Source organism: Homo sapiens, chromosome 2 (assembly GCF_000001405.40).
Source record: "Homo sapiens chromosome 2, GRCh38.p14 Primary Assembly".
Lineage (NCBI taxonomy): Eukaryota > Metazoa > Chordata > Mammalia > Primates > Hominidae > Homo > Homo sapiens.
In genome coordinates this window covers 105,592,170-105,620,101 of record NC_000002.12, presented here as the reverse complement: position 1 = coordinate 105,620,101, position 27,932 = coordinate 105,592,170, and the positions used below count along the sequence as shown (strand labels likewise).

General features: G+C 45.0%; 2 long non-coding RNA genes across 2 annotated transcripts; one reads left to right on the top strand and one right to left on the bottom strand.

Annotated features, from left to right (window-relative positions):
• Positions 1-3,423: 3,423 nt before the first annotated feature.
• Positions 3,424-8,953, bottom strand: LOC107985929 (uncharacterized). The gene is made up of 3 exons (XR_001739626.2): positions 8,823-8,953; positions 8,557-8,710; positions 3,424-4,046 (listed from the first exon to the last, which is right to left on the bottom strand). It is a non-coding gene; the product is annotated as an uncharacterized LOC107985929 (long non-coding RNA).
• A 589-nt stretch (positions 8,954-9,542) lies between these two features.
• On the top strand, positions 9,543-27,005 carry LINC02946 (long intergenic non-protein coding RNA 2946). Its single transcript, NR_038891.1, has 4 exons — positions 9,543-9,774; positions 18,845-19,080; positions 22,876-23,059; positions 26,242-27,005. It is a non-coding gene; the product is annotated as a long intergenic non-protein coding RNA 2946 (long non-coding RNA).
• The last annotated feature ends 927 nt before the right edge of the window (positions 27,006-27,932 follow it).

Below are 27,932 nucleotides of genomic sequence, written 5' to 3'. Positions count from 1 at the left end.
GAACTATCAGCAGAACCTGGACGGTCACCACCACTGGAGCCTGGAGCCTTGATTTCTCCTGACCATAAATGGCCATTTTTAGCCTGTTTCGCCAAACCTTTATAGTGTCTTTAGAACAATGCTATGAGAAAGCCGTGCATGATGGTTGCTTGGAATGCCATTAACTAAGGGAATGGACTTCTCTGCTCCCTTAATCTTACAGCGTCTCTACTCTCACTTTTCCACTCAAGCAACCTCTCTGCACCCCGGCCTGGATGCAGGCGACGGCACCCTAGATGGGAGTGCCACCTGCTTTCCCACAGGCTCTCCTGGGTGAAACACAGACATTCTCGCAGCTCCTCAATTGCCTGGACAGAGTATGTTCCAAATCATTCCAGATCATTCATACTTTGGTGCACACTAACTCACTTCTGCCCCTTATCACCATTGAGACCTCTTCTTTAAAATGTCTTCCTTCCGCATTATACTTCTACCTGCACCTTCTCTGTGGCAGCCCCGCACAGGTGGTGGGAGGCCTAGAATGAGAACCCTGCCAAGAGCCCCCCTTCTGAAGCATTCCCAGGGCCTTTGCCTTCCTAAGTCATCTAGACCCCTTTCCCCGGTGCTGAAGAATGCTCATGAATGTGACAAACCCCACAAGGCTCTCAGGGCTCTCCACGTCCATAAGCTGTTTTAGGATGTCCCTTTCTGTTTCATTGAAGCCCTAATGCCTCTGGTTTCTGATAAGAAAGAGATTTGAGAGCCACTGAAATGACAGTCCAGCTAATTCCATGTACAACGCCCAACCGAGTGCTGGGGAATATAACCCACGCTTTCCAAAGGGGACACAGCTGCTTCCAAGAAGATGAATTCTCTAGTCCTTTGCTTTGCACTGTGGTTTTCAAACTTTTATCCCTGGGGTCTCCACAGAGCTGTCTAGGAATCCCCACAGGAGGTGAGAGAAAGATCAAAGGTCCAGAAAACTCTTACCTCACCCCCCTTCACTGCAATTCTTTCCTATGGCTTTTGTTTGAGACTTTATTTGATTCTCTTCAAAATTATCTTTTCCTATTTAAAATGCTTTTCAATTGTTATTAAGCTGTGGAGTACAAGCAAATGGCTTTAAAAGTTAAATAGGTCTGGAAAACCTGTAAAGAAAAAGTTTCCAACAGACCCATCATACCTGTCACTCTGTCTGTCTGCAGTCCCTGCCCCAACCTCCCTCTAGAGTCTTCAGGGTTCACGGGCCCCCATCGCCCCCAGACCTTTGGCAAACAGGCCGTCCTGCAGCTTTCATGCCTCACCATCTCTGCTTTCCTTCTCCAAGGGTTTTGTTGAAAGATCTTTTCTGCTAGTGATTCTTCTCATTGATTGCCTGTTTACATATTGTGTGTTCCTTCCCTGTTATTTTATTGGGGTTTCTAGAAGGAGAGGAGAGAAAACATCTGTCTTCAACCTGCCCTCTCTAACCATCTCAGTCCAGATACCTTTAGCTAGCTCTAATTTCAAATAACTCCAAATTCAATTCAAGTGTGTTTTATTTTAACGTGGTCTTGTTGGCCAGAGAGAAGTCGAATTTTACCTGTTTTGTCTAATTTCTTGGGTTGTGGAGGATGTGGCAATGACCACGATGGGGCTTGGGTATAGGGTGTGTACACTGAGTCATTGTCATAGGTCAGGGTCCTTGGAAATAGTCCCTGAGTCTCTTGAGGAGGTCTGGGGGAGTGCACTGGGGAACAGTGCTGTGGGAAATGAAGGTGGCATTCAGCGGAGGGAGAAGTTGAGCTGCAACGTGGCTGCAGCAGAGGCCTCAGCCCATCCCACAGGGAGTGCTGGGCCAGGATGCCCTTTAGAGACATCCTGAATGAAGGGGCCTGGATTTTGCACACTGGCACTGACCGTTCTCAGGGTACCAACTGTTCCCAGGAAGGAGGCATGACCTTGGGCAAGGCAGATTCCTTTGGCCAAGGTCAGTTCCTAGAAGAGAATGTAGCTGTGAGCAGCCAGCAGCCAATCTCCCATACCACTGCAACCCCAGCTCCAGGAAAATGCAGTGCCCCATCCGAGGGGCCTGGGTGCAGCACCACAGCACCCTCTACATGAGCCGTCCCTTTCTTTCCATACGTCATCCACACTGTGCTCATTGTGACTGCTGACTCATGGGCAGTGTCAACACAGGTGCTATTCTAAATCCCTCTTTTGTATTAAGTCAGCCCTGACAACTACCCCATGCAGTGGGCCTTATTAGACTATTTTGGCTTTTGGCAGGACCGAGGTCTCAATGTGTAATGCTCTAGGTATCCAAAGACGAGATTCAGGACCCAGAACGGCGGGTGTCTGGCATACAGAAACCAATGCTTATTGAATGAACTAGTGAGGAAAATGCTCCAGTCCTCAAAGAGGTCCACCGCCTTGGGATGGAGACAGGTAAGGAAACAAGTGCTGTTAACTCGAGGCTGCATGAAAAGATTACCGTAGAGGAGCAAAAACAGACACAAAAGGGCTGACCCCTAGGGTGCCAAGAATCCTAAGCCAGGGGCGCTGTTCTGATGGTGAAGTGTGGGAGCCTCCTGGGTAGCAAACACAGCAGATGATCTCCTGCCAGGACACAATCTGCCCGTCAGCAGAGGAGACATGAAGCTGCCTGGAGTTGTCCTCTTTACCATGGCACCATCTGAGCAAATCAAATGACCCCAAATTCTCTTGCCTGTGGCAAGAAAGAACTCCAAAGACTGGTACCTGAGGATGAGATGGAGTCTCCAAAGACCCTTGGGATGGAGGAGTCAATGGCTCAGGAAGCATAAGCGCCACATAGGCAGTGATTCACAGACTGCTCTGGGAAGCCCTGGGACCAGGGCAGGACAGGAGTCCCCTCTGTTACCCCCAGAAGGATGGCTTTAATTTATCTGTGCTTGTCAGGCTTTCTGGGGCACTGAGGTGGCCTTGTGAACAGCTTGTGAGATGTTTCCTTTCCTCGGTCACCACGGATTCAGGAAGGCAATCTCACCCAGAAGAGAGACAAAGAGGGGCTACCCTTGGGAGGGTGGGAGGGGAGTGCCGTGGTCTAAGGAAGGGGATGAGGGCAGCTAGGCTCTTTGTGTTTTGTAGGTGTAAAAGGAAAAGCTGCCTGAGGTTGGGGTGGAGCCCAGGGAGGGAAGGATGGTGGTTGGGAGGCTCCATGGTACCTGTTGGGGCCAGCTGGGGTTGGGAACCAAGTGGAACACTCAGAACAGCGGCCTTGTGAGCCCTGGTTGGGGCATCCTTGGCCAAGGGGATCTCTCTTGTCTCAAAATCCTTGTTCGTCAGAGGAGGAATTCATCCCTGGGAAGGCTCCTGGCAGCAGTGGGGAAGGTCCACTGTGCTCTCCAAAGTCCAGCTGCAGCAGCCATGCAGGGGCCCAGCAGGTAGCCAGGCTGAGACTCTGGGCAGTCACCCCTGGGGTCCTAGAAGATATGTTGTTGTTGTTGTTGTTGTTGTTGTTGTTTGTGATTATTTTCTTTCGGAAGGGAGGCTTCATATGAAACACACTGGAGTTTTTGGTTAATAGATGAGGTGAGGGTTTGGGTGATTACTTAGAAAAAATAACAGTTGTCTATATATTTGCACTTTTTCTAGTTTATACTTATTCTGTTTCATTTGAACAAAAGTCTTCGTGGTTAAAATGATTTCTGAGAATGCTGTCCTGGTATGAAGGTAGAGTTATCAGGGAGCAGGAGAAAAGGCTGGAATTAGCTCTGGAAGTGGTTGTGCTTACCTAGTCAGTATGTATTAAGCATCAGGTTGCACTTTATGCAAGGCCAGGCATGGTAAAGCCAGCTCCCTCCTTCAAGGGGCTACAGCCAGCAGTGGAGACACAGCAAAAGAAATCATTTCAATGTAGACTCTGGGAGTGAATGGATTTATAAGTGAGGACCTACAAGCCGAAATTGCAAAGCTCCAAGGTGGTGTGAGCCTTTCCCAGGAAAGAAATATCACACAAAGAGGTAAAACTCAGCTCCAAGGCATATCACAGGGCTGTGTGGATGTCCAGAAAGGCAGGAGACAATGTCCAAGGTGGTGAAAGTATTCTGTGCAAAGAAAAACAATCGAAATGAGATCTCAATGTCTGCTCGAGTTGTAGCTGCTCTTCCTGATGGGTTAAGAGGAAAAATAAAAAACCTTATAGACCAGCCCCTAAAGTTATCAGCCTCATGTGACACTAAAGCTGCAAAGGATAAGGAATTGCTGGAGATGGAGCAGTAAGGCCTAACCTCCCTGCACGTTTCTCTTTGATCATTGTGGATGCCAAGTAGGAGTTTTGCTACACCTCAAGAAAGGTACAGAGATGAAAATAGTCTGGATAGTAATCAAGAATTGGAGGACTTCCACGTAAAGGCAGATTAACTATCATCCTCCCCATCACCAAAAACAGACACGAAACAAAAATAAGACACAGTACAGAGCAGATTTCTGTCTGAACAGGAGAAGGCTTTTCAGTAGGAAGCCTGACCCAGGCACAAGTTTTCTAAAAAGTGTTTCGTGAGGTTTGGGAACATAAATGGTTAAAGTGCATGGGCCCTTTAAGAAACAAGGTGCAGGGCTGTAAGAAAATATTCCTAGACAAGGTCAGACGGAAGTGGAAGGTACTGGAGCTGTTGTTTCTCTGCATGTGGTGAAGGAGTATTTTGTGGATCCAAAGTAGACAGGGCATAAGCAGAAAATGCAGGTGACCCCAGCAGCCGCTGAGCCGGCCTGGATTCGGGCAAAGAAAGCAGCGTCCTCCTGGTGCAAACAGACACAGCCACAAGTGCAGGACACGCAGTCTAGAAAGTCCGGAAGGTAAAATAAGGTCTTTTAAAAAATACAGCTTGGGTGTATATTTAAGGCACAAATATGAGATACATTACATATTTGTAATTACAAAGAGTAATACAGCACATGCGTGTGTACCTACCAATAATTTAAAAATTGAATCATTGCCAACCCGTTAGATCATATGTCTTCCTCTCTTCTCTCTCTCTCTCCAGGAAAGCACCCGTCTTTTTCTTTTTAAAATATTATTTATTTATTTAAATATCAAATTAATATGTTTTTGCATATTCTTATTTATTTATTTATTTATTTATTTTTCCTTTTCAGACAGGTCTCACTCTGTTGCCCAGACTGGAGTGCAGTGGTGCGATTTCGGCTCACCGCAACCTCCGCCTCCCGGGATCAAGCGATTCTCCTACCTCGGCCTCTCAAGTATCTGGGATTACAGGCACATGCCACTACCGCCTGGGTATTTTTTGTATTTTTAGTAGAGATGGGGTTTCGCCATGTTGGCCAGGCTGGTCTTGAACTCCTGACCTCAAAAGATCCACCCGTCTCGGCCTCCCAAAGTGCTGGGATTACAGGCGTGAGCCACTGCTCCCAGCCTGTTTTTGCATATTCTTCAATTTACACAGTGCATGTGCTGTTCCAAAACAAGATGAAGGCCTTGGTTCTGCTTATTTCCCCGAGTTGTTTCCTTTAGTTCATTAATTAATTAATATCTAAACGGACAAATAAGTATTGTAGATACTTATGGTGTACAACATGAGTTTTGAAATCTGTATACATTGGGGAATGGCTACATCCAGCTAATTAACATATGAATTAGCTCACTGTTTTGTGATGAGAACACATCACAAAAGCAAGTAGATACTCGCTTGGCAATTTTCAAGTATATAATACATTGTTATTAACCGTAGTCTCCATGTTGTACAACCCAGCTCTTGAACTCGTGCCTCCTGTCTAACTGAAACTTTGTATCTTTTGACCTACATCTCCCAAGCCCCCAGGCCCTGGGAGCCACCATTCTATCTCTACGGCTATAAGTTTAACCCTTTCAGCTCGCCCATGTGAGATCATGTGGTGCCTGTCTACGTGTGCCTGGTTTGCTTCGCTCAGCACAATGTCTTCAAGGTTCATCCATGTTGTCACAGATGATGGGAGGAAAGTACCCATCTTGACTTTGATCTTGGTCCTTCCTGGCATTTCTTTATATTTTTACTATATATGTATATAAAAATACTACTTTTACCCCAAAACTATCCTTTGAAAGGCTAGGAACTGAGACAGGAATCTGGGTCGACCTGTGGGTGAGAGGAGCCGTCGAGTTGGGTGAAATGGTTCCCGCTGCCCCCCAGCTCTGTCCCTCACCTCATGAGTGCCCCCTGCACTGTTGCAGTCATCAGCTTAATAGTCTAGCAGGCACTGCTTTCTTGGGTGCTACTGCATGTGGTGAAGGAGCATTTTGTGGATCTAAAGTAGACAGGGAATAAGCAGAAAATGCAGGTGGCCCCAGCAGCCACTGAACCGGCCTGGATTCGGGTGAAGAAAGCAGCGTTCTCCTGGTGTAAACAGACACAGCCTCAAGTGCAAGGCACGCAGCTTAGAAAGTCAGGAAGGCAAAACAAGATATTTTAAAAAATATATCTTGGGGGGGATATTTAAGACACAATTATGGGCCGGTGGGGGTGGCTCATGCCTGTAATCCCAGCACTTTGGGAGGCCGAGGCAGGCGGACCACCTGAGGTAAGGAGTTCGAAACCAGCCTGGCCAACATAGTGAAATCCCATCTCTACTAAAAATACAAAATTAGCTGGGAGTGATGGCGCATGCCTGTAGTCCCAGGTACTCAGGAGGATGAGGCAGGAGAATTGCTTAAACCCAGGAGGCGGAAGTTGCAGTGAGCCGAGATCGCACCATTGCACTCCAGCCTGGGCAGAAACAGCAAAACTCTGTCTCAAAAAAAAAAAAAAAAAAAAAAAGAGACACAATTACACTATAAAAAGTAATACAGTAGGTGCTACTATAGGTGCATAGAAGATTCTCAGAAGGCCATTGTAGAATTCATGAAGGGATACATAAGAAAGAACAGTAGGTTCTAAGGCCTGAAACAAGGGCTTTGGGGCTCGATTGGGTTCACATCCTTCTTGTATGTAGTGTATCAGGCTGATTAACATCGTAGCAAAGTACAGAATGAACGGTGAACAAGTTAGACCAGCTAAGAAGCTCCCCAATTTAGCTGCATGAATAGCTATTGAATACCAGCTTTGGGCCAGGCACAGTGCTAGGTTCCAGAATAAAGAACATGAATCTTATTTATGAAAAGCACAGCCTGGGCTTTCTGACCATGTTCAAGGGCAAGGTTGTCATGGCCTGAAATAGTCCACTTAGAAATCTTGCGTGCCTGCTCTAAGACAGCCTTGCTCACCAATGGGGCAACTAATTTACTTCAATTTTATATTTTTGCAAATAATATTTAAAAATATAAACCATGATTCATGGTATGTTAGTGTTTAGATTATACTATTTATGTCTGTGGTTTCCAGAAGAGAATCAAGCTGGACCACCTCATCCCTGATGGCCATCGTGAGTGCTTGAGATCTGCTTCTAACTAGGCAGGATCTCAGGTCCTCAGCACCTATAAACATGGTTATTGGCTAAAGATCTAAGGTTCCATGTTATGTCCAATCTTTTCTAAGCTGGAAACTGAGCAATTTTCAGAAAAAAAAAAAAAAAAAAAAAAAAAAAATGAACCTAGCTGGGGAGGGTGGTGGGCTCACATGTCTAGCACCCCCAGACAGAAAGTCTTAGCATTATACAGGCTGGTTTCTGTCTCTATAATCTCATCCCCTGTATTTTTCCACAGATGCTGTACTTCAGATTCTAGAATTAGGAGAATTTGACCAGCTTAATAAGTGTCCAAATAAGTGATTTCTACTCCCACTTCCTTAACATGCAATTGCCGAATAAACAAACCCACAAAGGCAAGGCAGCAATGTGTATTCTGAAACCAGGTTTTTAAGGCCTGATTTGGAGTTGTCTTCCTATTGGACCCCAGCTCTTGGGTTCAAAGTCGACGATCATTTGTACGAATGCCATGGTATATTTAAGTGAGTGGTTACAGCTGTTTCAGTTTCTTCCTCGCCAGTGTTTGGGGATCGGTGAGTGGGCCAAGCCAGGACTCACCCCCTGCAAGTTCACAGAGGCCTCAAACTCTGACAAGCAGAAGTTTCCATCTTAAAGACTGACAGGTATACCTAGAGATTGAAAATTAACATCCAGAATATTGCTTTCCCAAACATTATATGTTTATTTAAGACTCTGAATGCTATGTTGGCTCTAGCCTTGAATCTCTGCACATTTCAAGGGATTCTGTACTTCTTGATTACTAAAACATATGGAAATTGTACAAATCCAGCATGAAAGGCATTCTTTTTCTTTTTAAAGGGACTGCTTCTATATTCCACATTTCAAAAACCTCATCTGGGTTAGAAATGTAGGTATGTCCTTCACTGATGAGGTTTGGAAACATTTTGAAATCTCATTTTTAAACAATAAAGAAATATTTTTACGACACTTTAAAAAGTTTTAATTCTAATTGTTCATTATGTCACTAATGTGTCATTCGCTTGGCTATAGTAGTTGGATTTTTCTGAAACGTTTTGGTATATTATTTTCTTCACATTTGTGACTTCAACATAGTAACCAGATTGTCCTATATTTTGTTGGGTTCCTTTGTTGTAGTCTCTGAAGGCACATTTTTTTTTTCTTGTTCTCTAGACTCACCTTTTACTCCAAATTTCCATATTTCTCTTTATCTCTGATCCTCTTCTTGGGAAACGTGATAGAGGGAGCAAAGTCTGACAGGCTGATTTAGACATCTCAGAGGGTTGATTCAAAACAGTAGTTCTGTCTGTCAAACACACTTCAATGGTGCTGCCTGCAAATACAGAAGAGGGATATGGAATGGGAGGGCCGGGAAGGGATGGGAGCCCAAAGCCCGGCAGTGACCACAGAAGGATGAATTGCAGTGAATCCTTTATTTTGCTGACCTCTTTGCACAGATCATTTGTGTGTTGGTTCTGGTTTAATATTCCAGGTGACTCATGCTTGGGCAGATTCCCTCATCCCTGGTGCCAGCTTCCTCTGAAATATGCTGAGCATCGGCCTCACAGGTGTGAAGAGGAAAGGAATAATTAGAGATTATCCAACAGACTGTGCAGAGTGCTCCATGAATGTAAGGTACACAAATAAAACAAAATTAGCCAAATCCTCTCTGCAAATAAAAAAGTCATCCCTCCAATATTTGCCTAGAGAGGAGGCAGGCCTGACGGGAGAAGCAGGCGGCTTTGTCTGCGGAGCGTCCTCTCCCACCGACCACAGCAAATATTTCCTGTGCTTTCCGTCTCCAGGGTCAATTTCAGCCCTCTTACAAAGGCTCAATTTACGTTAGCAAATTCCAACTCATGAAAGCTCAGTTGTTCCCCTTGCAAACTAAAAATGGAAACCTCTAGTTTGCTGCTTTGGGCTGTTTAGTTGAAGGACGGCGTCATGGGGTTTGCTCTGTGTTCTGCGGTGTTTGAAGCAAAAACCGCCACAGGACCCTCGTGCTTCTGGAAGGAGCAGGCTTGCTCTATCTAAGCTGTCTCCTTCCGGTTCATATGACGGCAGCAAAGAAGTCAGGCCAAGTTCATTCACACCCAGACTGAGGCCCTTATCATCTGGGCTTTAAGAACTCTGTTTCTTGTTGCCATTATTCATCCTGGGAGGCATCCGGCTGCACCTCGGCTCCTTGCTTCCTCCGCCTCCCCATCTCTTTTAAGCAGGTTAGAAACAAATCAAAAGACTCATCCTTCAGAAATCTAGACACGAGGGAAACAGTGCAAAGCTAGTCTAACCTGGCCTTAGGATTTGTTCTGCTCAGAGCACCACCAGGCCTACTTCATCTGTCTGCTATGTTCTTCATTCTGTGCAATATCAAAACGGAGAAATATCCATCACATGGTAAGTTTAGCAACACTCTGCTCTCAATTAACAACGATAAAAGGGTGTGGCGCAGCATGCATTTCGCAGGGTCACATCGCAGAAGGTTTCATGCACAAATATCTCAGCTTATCTAAAGCAGAAAAGCCCAGCTGGGAAGCCTTGGCAGCCCACCTGCCTCGCAGGCAGAGCCAAACGCCCGCAAGAGAGGCTGCTGGTCCCATAGAAGGAGCAGAATTCTCTGCTTTCAGGACCTGGCCAAATGAGAGCCCTCTTCTGTCAGAATGTTCACGTAAATGGGAAGCTTGTATGAAGCCATAAACAAAATGAAAGAGAGGAGGGTGCACTTTCCTTGGGGCTCAGGTCAAAGGTCAAGTGGCCAATCAGCCAACAGCCTCCACTCACATAGAAGTGTGCCGGCTTCCCAGGCCTCGCCTCCCCCAAAGTGCACCCCCTGCTTGTTTCCAACATCCTCTTTCCAGGCCTCTTTGGGGTTTAGTCACAAGCGCTTGGAGAAGCAGTTGCTTGATGAGAGCTGCCTGTGGGGAGTGTAGGGAGGGGAAGGGTGCAGGCTAGAGGCCTGGGTAGTGAGGGTGACGATAGGGGCTGCGTGGCCCAGCCCCTGGGGCAGCGTGGCCCAGCCCCTGGGGCAGCCTGAGCCTGGGAAGATTGAGCACCCCACAACAGAGAGGGCCCAGTCTGAGGGCTCCAGAACATCTTGAGGAAATCACGGTGTTTAGTGTTATTTGTGAAAGCTTTGCAAATGCCAGTCACTCAGCAAGCCTGTTCATTTCCACGGTGTCCATGGCGAGGCAGGACTTCTGCAACACCAGGCAGCACAGAGAAAGTGCTTGGGATGCACAGGGCAGAGGGCAGCCTGCTGTTGGGCAGGGTCCTGGGATCCACAGGGCAGAGGCCGGTCTGCCGTGGGGCAGGGTCCTGGAAGCTGCTCCTCCCATCCTATCTCCATTCACACTCAAGAAAATATAATAATTGTCTTCTAAAGGGTATCTTGAAGGCCAAAGGCACCAATGTTTAGCCTTCTGGTCATCTCCAATTGTGTTTGTGAGGGAGTCTACCGTGGCTCCCTACTCCCACCCTTGGCAGAGTTGGGGACCCCCCTTTTCATGCTTATACATGAATATATGTTCCTGCCAGGAGCTCAGAAGTGCTGCTGGGAATAGAGGAGCTTGAGGTCATTGACCTCCTGGAATCCCAGCACTTTGGGAGGCCAAAGCAGGGTGACTGCTTGAGCCCAGGTGTTTGAGACCAGCCTGGGCAATGTGGCAAAATCCTGTCTCTACAAAAAAAAAAAAAAAAAAATTAGCTGAGTGTGGTGGTACGCATCTGTGGTCCTAGCTACTTGGGAGGCTGAGGCAGGAGGATTGCTTGAGCCCAGGAGGTTGAGGTTGCAGTGAGCCGAGATGAGGCCACTGCACTCAGCCTGGGTGACAGAGTAAGACCCTGTCTCAAAACAAAACAAAACAAAAAGAAAAGAAAAAGAAAAAAAATCATTGATCTGAAAAAAAGGTGCCCAGAATAAATCATAAAGGGAAAAGGCAGGTTTCAAAGTGCCATATGCAGTACAATCCAATCCTCGTGAAGAAAAAAAAAAACTGTGATGAAGAATTTGGAAATGTATACAGCAAAATCTGTGATCTTTATTTTTCTTTTAATAAAGCTATTCCTACTACCTATCCTCCCCCAAATAATTCTTTCATTGCCACTGTAGTAAAATATAAAAATAGGTATCAATAGATAGCAATTGAGTGTATTTCACAACAACGAGAGGTGGGCAACGCCTGGATGGCCATGTCTGAGGAGCATCACGAATAGGTGACTATGGACCTGCAGAGGAGAGGTTGGGGAGGGAGAGCATGGTATGCAGACGTACCTTCTCCACCCTGATTTGAGGTCTCCTCGGTAACCTGGGTCATAAAACAGAGTATTAATAAAGTTGGTGGATGGAAGAGCAAGAGCACAGGAAGGAGGAGCCAGAGGCAGTAAGGTCAGCTGTACACTCGCCAGAGAGTAAGTGCCAACAACTGGCACAAGCATGAACTGGCAAACATCAAGCTGGGAGTGTGGCGTGAAGAGAGGGGGCAGAGCAAACACAGGCTGCAGTGGACACATACACATATTTCTTGACTATGAGGATGAGTGAAAAGAAGAGGCTGGCAATTGTATGATGGTCTTCTGTCTTCATGCCAGATGGGCCAGGGTTCACCCAGGGCTGTGGTTTAGAGTCTTATAATCAAAGCAAGTGATAACACCTAGAGTGAAACCCCACAGGGCTGGGAGCTGCAATAGTGACATGTGAAAGCATAAGCTCTGGGGCAAAAAGCTTTTCCATCTCAGAATTTCTACTTCTTTTTTTTTTTTTTTTTTTTTTAAGATAGAGTCTCACTCTGCTGTCCAGGGTACAGTACAATGGTGCAATCTCTGCTCACTGCAACCTTCACCTCCCTGGTTCAAGCAATTCTCCTGCCTCAGCCTCCCCAGTTAGCTGAGATTATAGGAGCCCACCACCATGCCCGGCTACTTTTTGTATTTTTAGTAGAGATGGAGTTTCACCATGTTGGCCAGGCTGGTCTCGAACCCCTGACCTCAAGTGATCCGCCCGCCTCAGCCTCCCAAAGTGTTGGGATTACAGGCATGAGCCACGGTACCTGGCCTAAAGAAGCCTTTCAAAAATATCTCTGGGTCCAAAAAGCCTTTTGGTATCTTTTTTTGAAAAAAGCCTTTCAAAAGTAGTTCTGGGGCAAAAAGCCTTTCAGTATCTTAGTTGAAAGGAGAAAAAGTCAGGTTGGGACACTTAATAAAAATATTTAAAATAGGACAAATGAGTACAGAAAATAATATACTCTCATCATACCATTACCCAGATTTAGTAAATTAGGTTCAGATATTTTTTAAGGAATGGAAACTACAGATGCAATCGAATTGCCTTTGGCTTCTTGATGTCATTCCCTTCCTTCCCTCACTAGGAACTAACTATGCAGAGGTTAGTGAATGTTCTTCTTGATTATGTTTTTATACTTTTCCTATAGATAATATTGACATGTTCCTCAGACACACAAATATTCTTGATGAGATATAGCAGGATATAATAGTGTTTGCATAAAATAATGGTGCTTGCAATAAGCTTCTCTCTTGTGGGCAATATTAGTTTGGTTTTTTTAAAGTTCTTTATATCCATGAGGAGGGGAAAAAATCACATTTTGAAGAGAAGCCTTACCGATTCATAGATTTACGAGTTAAAGGAGATAAGAGATTCCTTTTGCAAAAGACATAATATACCAATTTTAAATAATTGGTTTAACTGATATAATTTTGCAACTTGCTTTTCTCCCACTTGACATTATGTTTTTGACATTCATTCATGATGAAGTATGCTGCTTTAGTTAATTAACTTTTAATCCTGTGTGATAAGTATAGTATTCTACTGTATAAATATACTATAATTTACCTATTTACTGTTAATGGACATTTTGATTTTTGCCTTTTCTTCTGATATAAGCAATGCTACAATGAGCACTTTTATACATGTGCCATCATGGCCAAGTGTGAGTTTCTCTAGCATGAACCATGAAAGCAACACTGCTCGGGTAGACGATACATACTCATCTTCCCCTTAACCATCTATTGCCAAATTGTCTTTCAAAGTCTTGAGCCAGTTCACGCTTCTGCCAGCAGTTTGTGAGTTCTCATTTCTCTACATCTTCATCAATACTTTTGAGTATAAACTAAAATAACTCATTTTTCTTATTACTAGTGAATAATCATGTTTTCATATATATAGGCTATTCAGTTTTTCTTTTCTGTGTTTTATCCATTTATATCCCTTGCTCATTTTTTCTATTGGCCTGTTTATAGCTTACTGATTTGTATGAATTTTTTACACATACTAAGTTCTAATCCTTTTCTGGTTATCTAAATTGCAAATCTTTTTCTAACTGGTGACTTGCCTATTCACTTTGTTTATGGTGGCTTTTCATATGATAAATTTTGGGGCCAGGTGCAGTGGCTCATGCCTGTAATCCCAGCACCTTGGGAAGCCACGGCAGGAGGATTACTTAAACCCAGGAATTTGAGACCAGCCTGGGCAACAAAGAGAGACCCTGTCTCTACAAAAATAAATAAATAAATAATAAAAAAATACAACATTAGCGTGGCATGGTGGGGCACTCCTGTAGTCATAGCTACTTAGGAGGCTGAGGCAGGAGAATCCCTTGAGCCCAAGGGTTTGAGGCTGCAGTGAGCTGCCGTCACACCACTGCACTCCAGCCTGGGCGACAGAGCAAGACTCTGTGTCTAAAAATAAAAATGAATAAATAAATAAAGTTTACCTAATTGTAGTCAAATACATCAGTCTTTCCCTTTCAGTTTTGGGTACATGTATATGGCATAAAGAGATTTTTTTTTTTTTTTCAAGACAGAGTCTTGCTCTGTAGCCAGGCTGGAGGTCAGTGGCACGATCTTGGCTCACTGCAACCTCTTCCTCCTGGTTTCAAGCAATTCTCCTGCCTCAGCCTCCTGAGTAGCTAGGGCTACAGCTGCTCGCCACCACACTGGCTAATTTTTATATTTTTAGTAGAGACAGCTCTTTACTATGTTGGCCAGGCTGGTCTCAAACTCCTGACCTTAAGTGATCCGCCCACCTCGGCCTCCCAAAGTGCTGGGATTACAGGTGTGAGCGATTGCGCCTGGCCTATATTTTCTTGCATTTTCTTCCAACTGTTTTAAAGTTTTGATTTTGCATTTAGATTTTTCATACCTCAGAAAGTAATGTATTTTCTCCCGCACTGAGTGTTAATTTTCCAAGCACCGTTTGCTGAGTAACCTGTCCTTTCTGCAATGTATCACGCCGTCTCTGTTATAGCCCGAGCCTCCATATGCCTGAGGCTGCTTTCAGATGCTCTGTTCTGTTCTATTTCCTTTTTCTGTATACTTTGCAACATTTATTTTTTTGCAGGGCAAGTCTCCCAACTATTTTCTTCTTGAATTTTTATGTTCTTAGGTTCAGAAATTTTTTTTTTTTGAAAACTGGTCACTGGTTTCTGTTTCCTTTAGGGGTATGACAAAGTATCAGTTAGGAATCTTTCTCTTCCAAGGAACAAAAAGTGCTTCTGACTATTTTAAGCAAAAAGAAGGGCGGGGGTTGGTGACGGGAAGAATTTTTTCACAAGGATATGAGGCTCACAGAATTGGCAGGAGACTGAGAGATCTGGCTTAGAAAATGGGTCAGAAGCAAGGCAGTGCCAGGAGAGGAAGCAGAATGAAGCCTAACCACAAAGCAGCCTGGAACATGGTGGTGCCAGCGCCTTCCACCACTCACTCACTGGCTGCAGAGTGGACCCTCAGTGGGATATAACTGAACTGACTTTATAGGACTTACCTTTTAATGTTAGAAGTTGCCCAACAGAGAGGGTGATTTTATGTGATATTATTGATGCTGAAGCACCATTTTTTTAAACTATCCAAAAGACACTGAAATCATGCCATAATCAGAGATGATTGATTTGTTTTTTATTGGACTTGACTTGACTTGTTCCCCTATGTCTCAGGTCAACAAATAACAAATTCACATCAACTGCATCAAATGATTTTTATATAGGTTCAAATAGTAGGTCTTCATCATAGCTATATATTAGAATCACCTGGAAAGATTTGACAACTTATTGATTCCCTCAACTCTCTTAAGACCAATTAAGTCAGAATCCCTGGTGTTGGGACCTGAGCTTCAGTGTTTTTTTTTTTAAAGCTCTCCTTCCCTTATCCACTGATGCTAACAGGCAGGCAGTGCTGAGAGTCGTTGGGCTAAAAGCAAACAGTTGTGCTAACACCAATTACAAGTGAGATTGCCTCTATATCAAAACTGTTCCTCCATGTTTGGTTTGTACAGTAGCACCACAATGTAGACTCAAAAGAAGCATTGACAGATTGGAATCTATTTCAAACTTGCATACTTCATCGATGGAAACAAAGGCTGGTAAAAGATCTACATGTTCCTCAGACACACAAATATTCTTGATGAGATATAGCAGGATATAATAGTGTTTGCATAAAATAATGGTGCTTGCAACCAACTTCTTTCTTGTGGGCAATATTAATTTGATTTTTTTAAGTTCTTTATATCCATGAGGAGGGAAGAAAAATCAGGTTTTGAAGAGAAATCTTACTGACTCATAGATTTACAAGTTAAAGGAGATAAGAGACACCTTTTGCAAAAGACATAATATACCAAACTTTATTTTCGTCAGGAGAAAACCATGCTGATAGACTTAATTACAGTAAACAGTTCAGCGATTAGGATCTATCACTCAGAACATGATCTGAGTGATTTCGATAGCAAGAGTGCTGCTCCTGAGGCATATTTGTCTTCTTCAAATTTGAGTGATTTAATTCCTTAGATTGGTTGGCTTTCAAAAGAGGGAATTCTTGGAACCATTCTAAAGAGGTCTCTGGATGACTTCAGAGTAAACCTTAAATTAATCATATGTGAAGATCTATGCTTCCATAATGTTTCCAAAAGGCGTATTTTGATTGACATTCTCAGGTGTATATATGTTACTGATCCTAAACATGAGTCCAACAACTGTACCCACTATTAGTGGTATGCCACAGATGTGCAATAACCAGCTCTGGGCTGGGCTTGTCAGCTAGCCCCCTAACACTTTGGGAGGCCAAGACCAGTCTGGGCAACATAGTGGGACCATGTCTGTACAAAACAACAACAACAACAAAATGGATGTTGTAATGTGTACCTGTAATCTTAGATAATTGAGGGGCTGGGGCAGGAGGATTGCTTGAGCCCAAGAGTTCGAGGTTATAATGAGCTATGATCACATCACTGCACTTCAGCCTGGGCAACAGAGCAAGACCTTGATTCTGAAAAATATTAGTAATAATTTTAAAAATAATCAGCTGTCTTTGGGGGCAAAGTGCTGTTATGTAGTGGTTGCCTACTTCTATACTGCAAACACTACCAGCTATGGCCAAGTTGATTTCAAGCTACCAAATTGAGGTCACTTAACACGGAGTTGGGAAGAGTTACACGGATGTACACCATTGTATAATAACTCCTTTATACAGATACAATAGATAGAAATAAGAGTATAGATGATAGTAATATATCATAAAACAGGAGGTCATCCATTTTGAAGATCAATTACCTCTGCTTTTAATATATTTAATTAAATCTTATACAGTTTATTTTTTAGTAGACTTTATTTTTTAGAACAGTTTTAGGTTCACAGCAAAACTGAGCAGAAAGTGCAGAGTTCCCATATATCCCCTGCATCTTCTCCCACAGCTCCTTCTACCCCACTATCAATATCCTACACCATGCAATACATTTGTTACAACTGATAAACCTACATGGACTCACGATTATCATCCAAAGTCCATAGTTTATATTAGTGTTCACTCTTGGTCTTGTACATTTTATGGGTTTTGATAAACATATAATGATATGTATCCACCATTACAGTATCATAAAGAATAGTTTCATCACCCTAAAAGTCTGTGCTCTGCCTTTTCATTCCTTCCTCCCGCAAACCCTGGGAACCACTGATCTTTTAATTATCTCTATAATTTTTCTTCTTTCAGAAGGTCATATAGTTACAATCATATAGTTTGTAGTCTTTTTAGATTGGCTCTTTCTTTCTTTCTTTCTGTCTCTCTTTCTTTCTTTCTTTCTTTCCCTTTCTTTCCTTCCTTCTTTCCTTCTTTCCATCTTTCCTTCTTTCCTTCCTTCCTTCCTTCCTTCCTTCCTTCCTTCCTTCCTTCCTTCTCTCTCTCTCTCTCTTTCTGTCTTTCTTTCTTTCTTTCTCTTTTTAACAGAGTCTCACTCTGTCGCCAGGCTGGAGTGCAATGGCAGGATCTCCGCTCACTGCAACCTCCGCCTTCTGGTTCAAGTGATTCTCCTGCCTCAGCCTCCTGAGTAGCTGTAGCTGGGACTACAGGCATGCGCCACCACGCCCGGCTAATTTTTGTATTTTCAGTAGAGACGGGGTTTCACCATGTTGGCCAGGATGGTCTTGATCTCTTGACCTCGTGATCCGCCTGCCCCAGTTTCCCAAAGTGCTGGGATTACAGGCGTGAGTCAACACACCCGGCTGGCTTTTTCTTTCACTTAGTAATATACACTTAATATTCCTCCATGTCTTTTCATGGCTTGGTAGCTCATTTCTCCTTAATGCTGAATACTATTCCACTGCCTGGATGTACCACAATTTATGTAGCCATTCACCTACATTTTGGTTACTTCCAGATTTTGGCATTTATAAATGAAGCTACTATAAACATCTGTGTGTATTATAAGTTGTTATGTGGACATAAGTTTTCAACTCATTTGGGTAAATACCAAAGAGTGCAATTGCTGGATACAGAGTTTAATTTTTAATAATGGCGGTGTTTAAAAATCACCTTGGAAAATTGCTGGAAATTTAACAAGAGGTTCTCATCCACTGGTGTGAGCCAGTGTTGGCCTATCACTGCATTATAATTGCATCCCTACCCTTCCTCCAAGTTGGGCTTAATACAAATTCAAATGAGTTTTAGGGGGACTCCAACTGAAGTCCATCTGTGACATGTCTTTAAAATGTTGCTTTTGTATGTGTGTATGTATGTATGTTCCAGTGGGTTTATTAAGTGAAAAAAAATAGCCTGGTTGGTTCTCAGCTTTCCAACAAAAGCAGGTCAAAGCCAGTATCAGGATTTTTTGCTCCTTCCTGTAAACTAAAAATAAGATGCTAAGCTCCTCCACCAACAAAATGGATCCCCTTGTGGCCGAAGGGATCCCAGGAAAACCTTAAAACTTAGTTCCCAGCCATGAAGGGACAGGAGGTCAAATATACCTTGTTATACCCCCGCCTTTTTTCTCTTTAGACACAAAAACCAACCAGCATTAATGTTAAAATAGAGATCATAAGACCGACAGAATGAACTCTTTGTGGCCATAAGACACCAAATTATAAACAAGACCTAAGGCCATGCCAAGCCAAGAGTTAAGTCACACACACCACACACACAACACTTAAAGAATAAACTAGGTTCTAACTGCCACAAGGTTTTTCCTTTTCTCCAGCAGCTAAACAAGAACTGCCCTCAAGATAAGCAAGATTAAAACAATTACAACTCACCCAGCTCACGGACGCTGAGTAACTGACCCCTGTTGCACCAGCCGTAACTACAGCTTTGATTGGATGGGAGACTGACTCCAGTAACTTTCTCCTGATAAGAGACCACCGGCCATGGACTGGTTCTGGCTGGTTTGCAGAAAGTACATTCATCCGCCTTCATGTCCTGAAAAGACCTTTTGAGGTATGGGGCCTAATTTTAATACATTTAAATGTTAAATCTCCACCCCAAAGTGAACCTGGGTTGTATGTTACATGCATGTTTGTTCAATATGCATGTGTCGGGACTACCTTCATGAATATTCGTAGTTCTTCCTGTAACCTGTTGAATACGTATGTTTGGCCACCCTGTCCAGCATGAAGCTTCTGTCCCAGCCCCTCCTCCTTCGAAGTGCCTGACTCCGGTCTTGGCCAGAGGCACACTTCTGAGCCTGCAGGATGGCCACCTTGCAGGCTGTAACCCTTTACAAGAAATAAAATCTCCTCTCCTCACAATTTATAAATTTGTGATATTTTTGGTTAACATTCCAAAGCATCGTGCACAGAATGTGATAAACCCCTCCCACTGGAGGTTCTTAAACTGCTCCTTAGAATCTCAGGGGCTGCCGAGGTGCCCCTAGGGCAGCAACCCATTTTAAGTAGCGCTCCCCACCCCTCCATCCCATCCCCATCTTTTCCACCATGATCCCCTCAAACAGGGCGCCTTCACTCTTCTGTTTGATGTACTGGGTTTCTGCATTAGACTTTGTTTGAAGAAGGATTTCTTTGACTATAAACACTTTGAAACCTCTGCCTTGGAACGCCAAATGTTAATGAAGGAATTGGACTGTGCCTCACACCGTTAATCACCGACCGGTCCGCTGTGCTGCTTCCGCCATGTTTGCAGTCGCCTCAACAAAAACTGTTCCGAGCATCAGCAGTGAGTTTAGGGAGCAAATGCCTATAGCACTGTGGTCTAAGATGTCCATGTCCATAGTGATAAGAAATGGAGACCCAATTGTTACATGGTGCTGTCTACTTTGTTACAGCTGTGTGTGGAATTATTTTGGGCTCACCCCTGGAGCTGCCAGTTAACACTGTAAAATTGAGAGAAGAAGCAAGTGTGATCCATTTTTATTTCCTCTGATTGAATTAGTTTTTCCCGGAGGGAAGACCCATTAAGATCCAGCATTTGTTATCAAGGCTTGGTATGATCAATGTCTTGGCTGAAACATTTGCTGGTCCCATTAGACAAGACTCCCCACAACTTACGTTTGCTGTTTTGTACACAATTTTTTTCCTCTCATATTCAGAGATTTATCACATTGAGTCCAGGCAGTCTGTCTTTATACTTTATACATAACTAATCTGTAAGCACGGTGTATCCTAAAGCACACTCAGAAGCTATTGATAGATCAGGAATGGGAGAAATAAACGCATAGAGCGTCCTCCTTGGTATCCTGTTTGTTGGCACTGGTTATACCACCCATTCCCATGATGAAGGGATAAAGTTGTGCCAAAACTGTCTACCTCTCTTCCTTGTGGGGGAAGCATCCATTCATCCCAGTCTGTTTTAGAGGTAAGTTAGAGGAAAACTTTCTTGTGTACTTTTTCCCTTTTGCAAGCAACCTTCTGGAGGGATTTCTAAACCTCCTTTTTTTAGTTTTTTTCTCCTCCTTCCTTTGTGTTCATGGAGGGACTGCAGCTGCTTTCCTCCCTGACTGTGGCTTAGTAGCTACTATATTTATAGATTTCATATTGCAGTGATGAGAAGATTTGTAAAGATTATGTAAATTGTATACTGTCAAAGGAGACATGTCGGGTTGCTCTCCAGACTTTGGGTGCTTTGAACGGAAAGAACAACACAATTCTGGAAGTTCCTTTCAGTTCCTTTGGGGACAGACCTCACTGTTATTTGGAAGTGATCAGTGATCGGAAATGATGTCATTCCCCAGACCTTGAGATCAAAAAATGTCAACGCCTGGAGAAACTTTAGAGTGTATCTGGTGAACTCGGTTATTTTATATACGAGGGAAATGAAACCAGAGAGGCTAGCCAGCCTGAAGGGTGCCACACAGCTCAAAAGTGAGACAGTCAGGCCCAGAGTTCAGGTAGGCCACTGCACATTTAGGGGAGTTTTGCTTTCTTTTGGTTTTGCTTTGTTTTGCTTTAGCTTCTTGAAACTCTCCTGGGGGCAAGCCTTTATGTAAAAAGAGAATGAAATCAGGGCTCTGGTTGGGTGCTGAGAATGCATGTGAGGGAGTTCTAAGAGAGCAAGAAGGAGCCCAGCCTCCCTTGCTTGTAGCATGAGCTACTGACAGATGGCTTCTTCCCTTCCTCTAACAAAAAAAAAAAAAAAAAAAAAAAATTAAAAAGAACATAAAGAAATAAATCAGTAGAATTCTAAACAGCAAAAGGCCCACTGAGGTCTAAGCAAGTCCTAAAAGGTAGTAACTACAGAGGCCTTTAGATCTTCAGGAATGTGCTGAATTGCTCAGACAGCCGAGACGGTGGAATTCTGGCTGAAATGGTCCTTCCTAACCTTGAGTCAGAAACCTGGGGCTCTCGGCTGCTCCAATTGAGGGTCCCACCCAAGCACCTGAGAGGGAAGGTGATGTGCAGAGCAAAAGCTCTAGCCGCAGCCACCTGGGCTTTTGCAAACCCCAGCAAATTACAAACGGCCCTTCCCTGGTTTGCTGACAGGTTCACTTCTGGGAAAGTTAAATGCAGGCCTGGCTCTAGGCAAAATTGTAAAGTAAGTGAGTCTGTTTTCAGCATATTCTTCTCCTCCTTATTAGCAGCGCCCAGTCCCAGCTGTCACTAGCATCCTATGTACCCACTCTGGCACTGTTGGTGTCAGTGCTAGGCCTTTCCCTTCCTCCCCTAGGCAGCAGCTTCCCATTCCCAGTCCAGGACCCCAGGGCAGCCCTATACTCCCCATTCCAAGCCCAGCCATTCCAACAAACTGACTTGTGCCTGCGCATTGGTGGCTTCCAATGGATTCATTCTTTCACTTCCTCCCAGGCAATATGCTTTCACTTTGGCAATGGCTGGCTGGATACAAGTTAATCGGATTATTCAGAGGGTAGAAATTTCCAGTGTGGGAGCAGTGCACAGAGTGGGAGGCAGGCAGAGGGAGGCAGGGAAGGGTTTGGCCTCTGAGTGGCAGTTGGTCCCTTGCTCTGGCTGTGGCTGAAGGCCCTGGGAGAGGGACAGATGACATGGCATGTTGAAGGCTTTTCCTGGCACTGGGATCCTGTGAAACACTCACAGAGATCTGCTTTTCTTACATCCCCCAAGTTAGCAAATAAATGCTCATAAGACTGGCCGGGTTTGGCTATTTCATAATGAGGCTTGCACACACCACGACCCCTTCTGAGGCCATTCTTACAGGATTTAGGTTTTACCCAGCTTAAGAATTCGGCATGTCTCTAATGACAAGGTCTCAGATTATCTTACCCAGCTGCATGATGCCAAGTGACAGACGGAGTTCCATGCTGCTCTTGGGGCTTTTTTCCTCCTCTTGCATTTTCTTGTTAGTCCTCAATTTGGAGGGGGCAGGAGCTGTGTTACTGAGACTCAGAACTCTTGTTTTCCACCATCATGTTGTGTTTTTCATTGAAACCATTTTCACTGTGTCTCTACGCTGGTTTTAAATGAGGATGACATCACGAGAAATGTTTTTTAAACTACTGTCCTTGGGGAGGAGGGAGCTTGGTGCTGGTGTCTGAAGTCTGTCTCTCTCTCTGCTTTGATAACCCCGGCAGCATCAGTATATGATCATTTGCATCCGGGTATAGCAAGACGCCCTGGTTAGCAATGCACTTCTTCCTATTTTTACTCCTGTGTGCGTGCTGACTCTCACCCACCTACTCTACTGTGTCACCAGCTGGGACTGGTGGCCCCTTTGTGCAAGGCCAGCTTCAACTATGGGCAGCTATCAGGGAGAGGTGGCCTAAAGAGGCTGAGTCCATTTGGATCCTGCCTCTCTCTTCCCCAGCAGGCAGAAACTGTGCGTGTGTTCCCCGAGCAATTCCGGACAAGGCCATCTGCAACTTGCACAGCTCAGCACCAGGAGGATGAGCACATGAGGCCTGAAAAATCTTGGGAAGAGTGATAGCGATGGTGTTTCCTCTCCAGGGATGACACCCTAAAGACCGGGCCCTGTGCAGGGACGATACAAGGTGAGTGGTGGCGGCCCAAAGATGCACCAGACTCACCCAAACACAGTCCCTATTGTTTCTCTCCACCAAGGATCCTCTCGGCTCCAGGGGAGAAGAGACTTTCCCTTCCTGTTGAGCTCTGCAATTTTCTTTAGATAAACCAATGCCGCAAAAACAAGACAGGTGCCTTGCAGGCCATCCACACACTCACACAAAATAGTCACCAGACTTTATTTTAGAAGCCACCAGAATAATGGCTGAGGCATCCAGGAACAGTGTTGAGGAGTGTCTGTGAATGATAATTAAACGTGGCTACCTCCCACACCAAAGACAGCTTCCGCTTGCAGAGACATCTTCAAATGCAATGTTAGCTATGCAGTCTGTGACTTCCTTAGTGCCAATGAGGCCTATGAAGTGTTCAGTGCTATGTGCCAAAGACTTAAAAATTGACTTTCATAAAAGTCATCGTTTATGCCATGGCTGACTCCCTGTTCAAAGAAGGGGTTTCCAAAGCCCCAGAAAGAAGGAGCCTTAGGCATACTCAGATCAGAGCTCAACGAGAGGTTAAGACTCTCCAGTACAGCCAACCAAAAAATCGCAATCCCTTGACAGACTTCCTCTTGGAAGGGGGAGTGGTGCTGGATTTCAGCCTCCTTTCTGATTCCTTTCACAGTGAGGGCAGGCTGTGGTGCTCACGGGCTTGTGGGAAGGGCATAGTCACAGGAGATGGGGCCTGTGCAGCCTTAGCTCAGGCCCCCAAGGTATTTCCAGGATGTTGCCGCCTACCTGAGCCCCTGTCCCCAGAGGATGCATGGATGAATGACCCTGAGTCTCCCATCATGGCCATCTAAGTTCCACCAGTCTGTCCCTAGCCAGAGTCTCTGCTTGCCCCCTCTCCTTTTCCCCCTTGCTTTTCCCAGCTTATGCATCATGCTCTTTGCACACTGTACCATCATCCAAGCTCTACTCTTCCTTCAAGGCCAAATTCAAATTCCAATTCCTTTATGGAATCTTTATTGCCAGAGGTAGTAATAACACAATAATGTCCTGCAAGCATGCAATGGTTTAGAGCTTTCCTATCCATTACCTCATTCAAAGGTCCTAGAGTTCCGGAGCTGGAAAGCCTTACAAACCATCACACTATGATTTTATGGAGATGCAGGCTAAGGAAGCATACAGGATGCTACTGTTGGTGGTGAGCAAGGAAGAGCTCTCAGGCCTCTTGACCACCCAGACCAGTATTCCCCACAGCAGAGACTCCTGCAGGCTGCAGGTGAGATGACTGGGCAGGGTGACTCACCCCTGCCCACACGACCAGCCGAGCAGCCTCGTTAGTGTCTGCGTCTTCTGACTCCTGGTTCAATGCTTTCAAACAGATGGAGCTGCCCTCCTGCAAATCGTGGATTGTCCTTGTGGAACGGCTCTGGGGGTTAGTGTGGCAAAGCTATTTCACCACACATGTGACTCAGCCTTACCCCCGGCGTTGTTATTTAAAATCTTTGACCCCAATAAAGCTCCTAAAGAATAGGGCCAATATTTTATACCCCCTGAGGTTCTTACTGCCCTATTTCACTGCTCCAGTAATTAGTGCAGGACTTTCTCTGGATTGATGGGATGGAGAACCATCCTTGTTTAAACAAGGCAGGAGGACAAAAAGGCAGAAATCAGTGAGAACTAAGCCTTCTCTGCCTGGGAGAGGAAACAGGGGCTTATGCACAGAGAGGAAGGCCGAGGATGGAGGGCAGGCCAGTGGGAAGTGGCAGCTCACACCTGCGAGGGCCAGCCATAGCAGGCGGGTTTGGAGGAGGCTGTCCTGGAAGACTCGACACACACCAGCCATCACCCATCACCCTCCCTTCACTCCACTTATAGGAAAGAGGCCCAAACCCTCCAGACCCTGACCAATCTAGGAATTGGGTTTACTCCAAGGCTTAACAGGCCACATTCTCCCAACCTTTGTGCAGCCTGCTTGTGGGGCCTCTTCCCAGCTCTGGGGCTGGATTAGATAGGAAGAGACTCCACCAAGATGTTTCTGAGGTCTCCTTTGCCCATTTTTTCTTGCAAAGACACCAGATAGGGCCCCTGGCAAGGATGCTGCCATTTCTGCCTCATGTGACTGTATCTGCCACTGAGGCCAAGCCAGATTGCCACCTGGTGCTGGGGACATCTGGCCTGAGACCCTCATCACTTGATGGAATCTTATGCTGGGTCTTCACCACAGGCATTTCTCTTTTTCCCAGTGTCTTTTCCAGTAGTGAATTACTTTTGTCTATATTCTAGGCCCCTGTTCTTGGGTGTGTCAGAAACAAGTAGATACGGTGACTGCCCTGCTGGGGAACTTGATGGATTCTCAAGGTCTTGTGGCAAGTGGCAGCCACACCCACAAAGCCAAAATAAGTCCCCTGTTGACCTGCCTGAGGGCCTGGTACGCTCAAGCCACCTGTTGGGCTCTGACATTTCTCTAGAAGGTTCCTATTACATGCATAGTTATTATATGGGAGATTTGAAACTAATTGATCTTTGGGCAAATAATAATTGTCCCCAAAGAAGCACAGGGTCCTATACAAATAACACTTACTGGGGTTTAATTTCGGTTGTAGGTATAGATTAGTTTATTCACCTGAAAACCAAATGAGTTGGACTAATCTCTCCAGATTATTTTTAACACCAAATATATGGCTTTTGGAATCTAGCAAGGTAGGTGGTTGAGGGATTTCTTTTTTTTTTTTTTTTTAGCTTTCTGATTTGCCCATTTGTGGCACAAGACTTGGGTCAAACTTGTGAATTACTGTCTTCATTTCATAAGGCAGAAGCCCTGGGAGGCCTATCAACACTTCCATGGAAGGCTGAAGGCTCCCTGGAAATTAGGTTGAGGGGCTTCTCTCTTGCAGGGATATTGCTGAGCACGGGGAAGGCTGGAGCAGTCTGTCACGGTCCCGTCTTTGCCGTACCTCGGGACATAGCCTGGATAAGCAAGGGCGGGCAGGTGGGCTTGGGGGTAGACCTAGAATGAGCGTAGCCAATGCTGTGGTGAGGACAGCCCACCTGGACCCTTTGTCACTGTGATTCCCCCAGCTGTGGGGAAGGCTGAAGAGAGGACTGTCAGGAGCAAGGGGCTGTCCTGGGACAGATGCTGTGCATACGCTCTCTCACTGAACGTCACAGAACACGGGCAGCTAAGTGTCCTCATCTGCTTTTTACAGGTAAGAAAGCAGAGGCTCCAGCAGGGAGCTTGCCTGGGGCCATGCTGCATTCTCAGGCAAGGCAGCTCTTCCAGGGCCGGGAGACCCCTGCTAGCTACTTGCCAGTCAACTGTTGTCTCCCTTTGGGAACATCACCTCTGCTGCTGGGCTGGACTTCCTCCCAGCACCAGATGGTGTCACTGACCACCTGAAACACAGTCGATACTGCTACAGACACATCATGCAGTCTTTTTCCTTTCTGATGAGAATTGCACAAAATCGAATTGACCACCTGGAACAAATGCAGCTGATACCATTAAAAACACACCATACAGATCTTTTAGTTTTTAATGGGAATTGCATGAAATCAGATTGACTGGAATGCTTGTGTCTGTGGAACCCAAGCATGTGGCATGCTATATAGATGGTGAATTCATCTGTGCGTGAGGCCGCACGTTTGACGCATCTCCACCAACATAGGGATTGCTTCCCGGCATGCATGACTAATAGTGAGTTGTAAAAAGGAAACTTCACTTAACTATCAATAATGAAAGGGATTTTCAATCAACCATGCTAGAGGAAAGATGGTATTCTCTTCTGTTCTCTGTAGAAAAGGCAATAAAAATCAGTGCCACATAACAAGGTTATCAGAGGATGTAGCATAGAGGTATCACATAGTTAATTAATGAAAATGTTCTCTTATTTTCTGGGTATCCCAAGGCTTTAAAAAATGTATAACTTGTTACAAGTTTTTGTTGTAAATACACATTCAATTTCATGTGTGATTTTTGTATAAGGAGTTTTGCATTCATTTTGTGTAAGTTTCCAGCCCCATAGGTGGGCTCCGCCCACCTGCTGTGCACCAACAATGGAGAAGCCGTGCCAGGAAGGAGACGTGGAGGTGGGCATGGGGGTGGTGGGCGACGGGAAGGTAACCAGCTGTGAAAGTCCCCTCGTGTCATTCTAAAGGAGCCCAACTCTTGTTGGGGGAGTCTGTGGACTTCTAAACAGAGAAATGACAGGATGAGATTTGTGTCTTCAGGTGGTCCTGGAGGAAGGAGGTAGGGTGGTCTAAGGTGGGAAAAAGGGGTGACAGGCAGGTGAGCAAGGAGGCCACAGCAGTGGCATAGGTGAAAGATAATGAGACACTCCTCTGGAGCAGGAGGGGTGAGAAGGATAGTTCCAGTGGTGCTCACGAAGCAGACTGGGCAGAATTTCATGGATGACAGACAAGGAATTCATGTGGGTGTGCTGGGGCCCAGGGACTGGGTAGACAGAGGGAGTACAGTGAGATAGAGAAAGGCCGGAGGAAACTGGGGTTTGACCTTGGATGGCGGGGAGGGTGGAAACACCATTCAGAGACAGCCCAGGAGGAGCAGCAGCTCTGAGCAGATAATGAGTCCAGTGTTGGGCCTGAACAGCCTCAAGTACTGACCCACAAAGCTAAAAGAATGAAATGATCTGAGTCAACAAATTACACACTGAATGAGCCCAGTGGCATGCCAGGCCAGCATGAGGGTGGACAGATTGAACGGTGGCTGTGACGCAGCCTGGGCCCCAGGGAAGAGGTCACAGAACGGCAGACCAAACTGCCCCACTGAGTTTCTTTTTTAATTACACAGCATTTTAGTTAGTTATTAAAAATAAGAAATGCATTAATATGTTTCAAAAATCAATACTTACAAAAGGATATTTGCAAAAAGCTTCCTGGT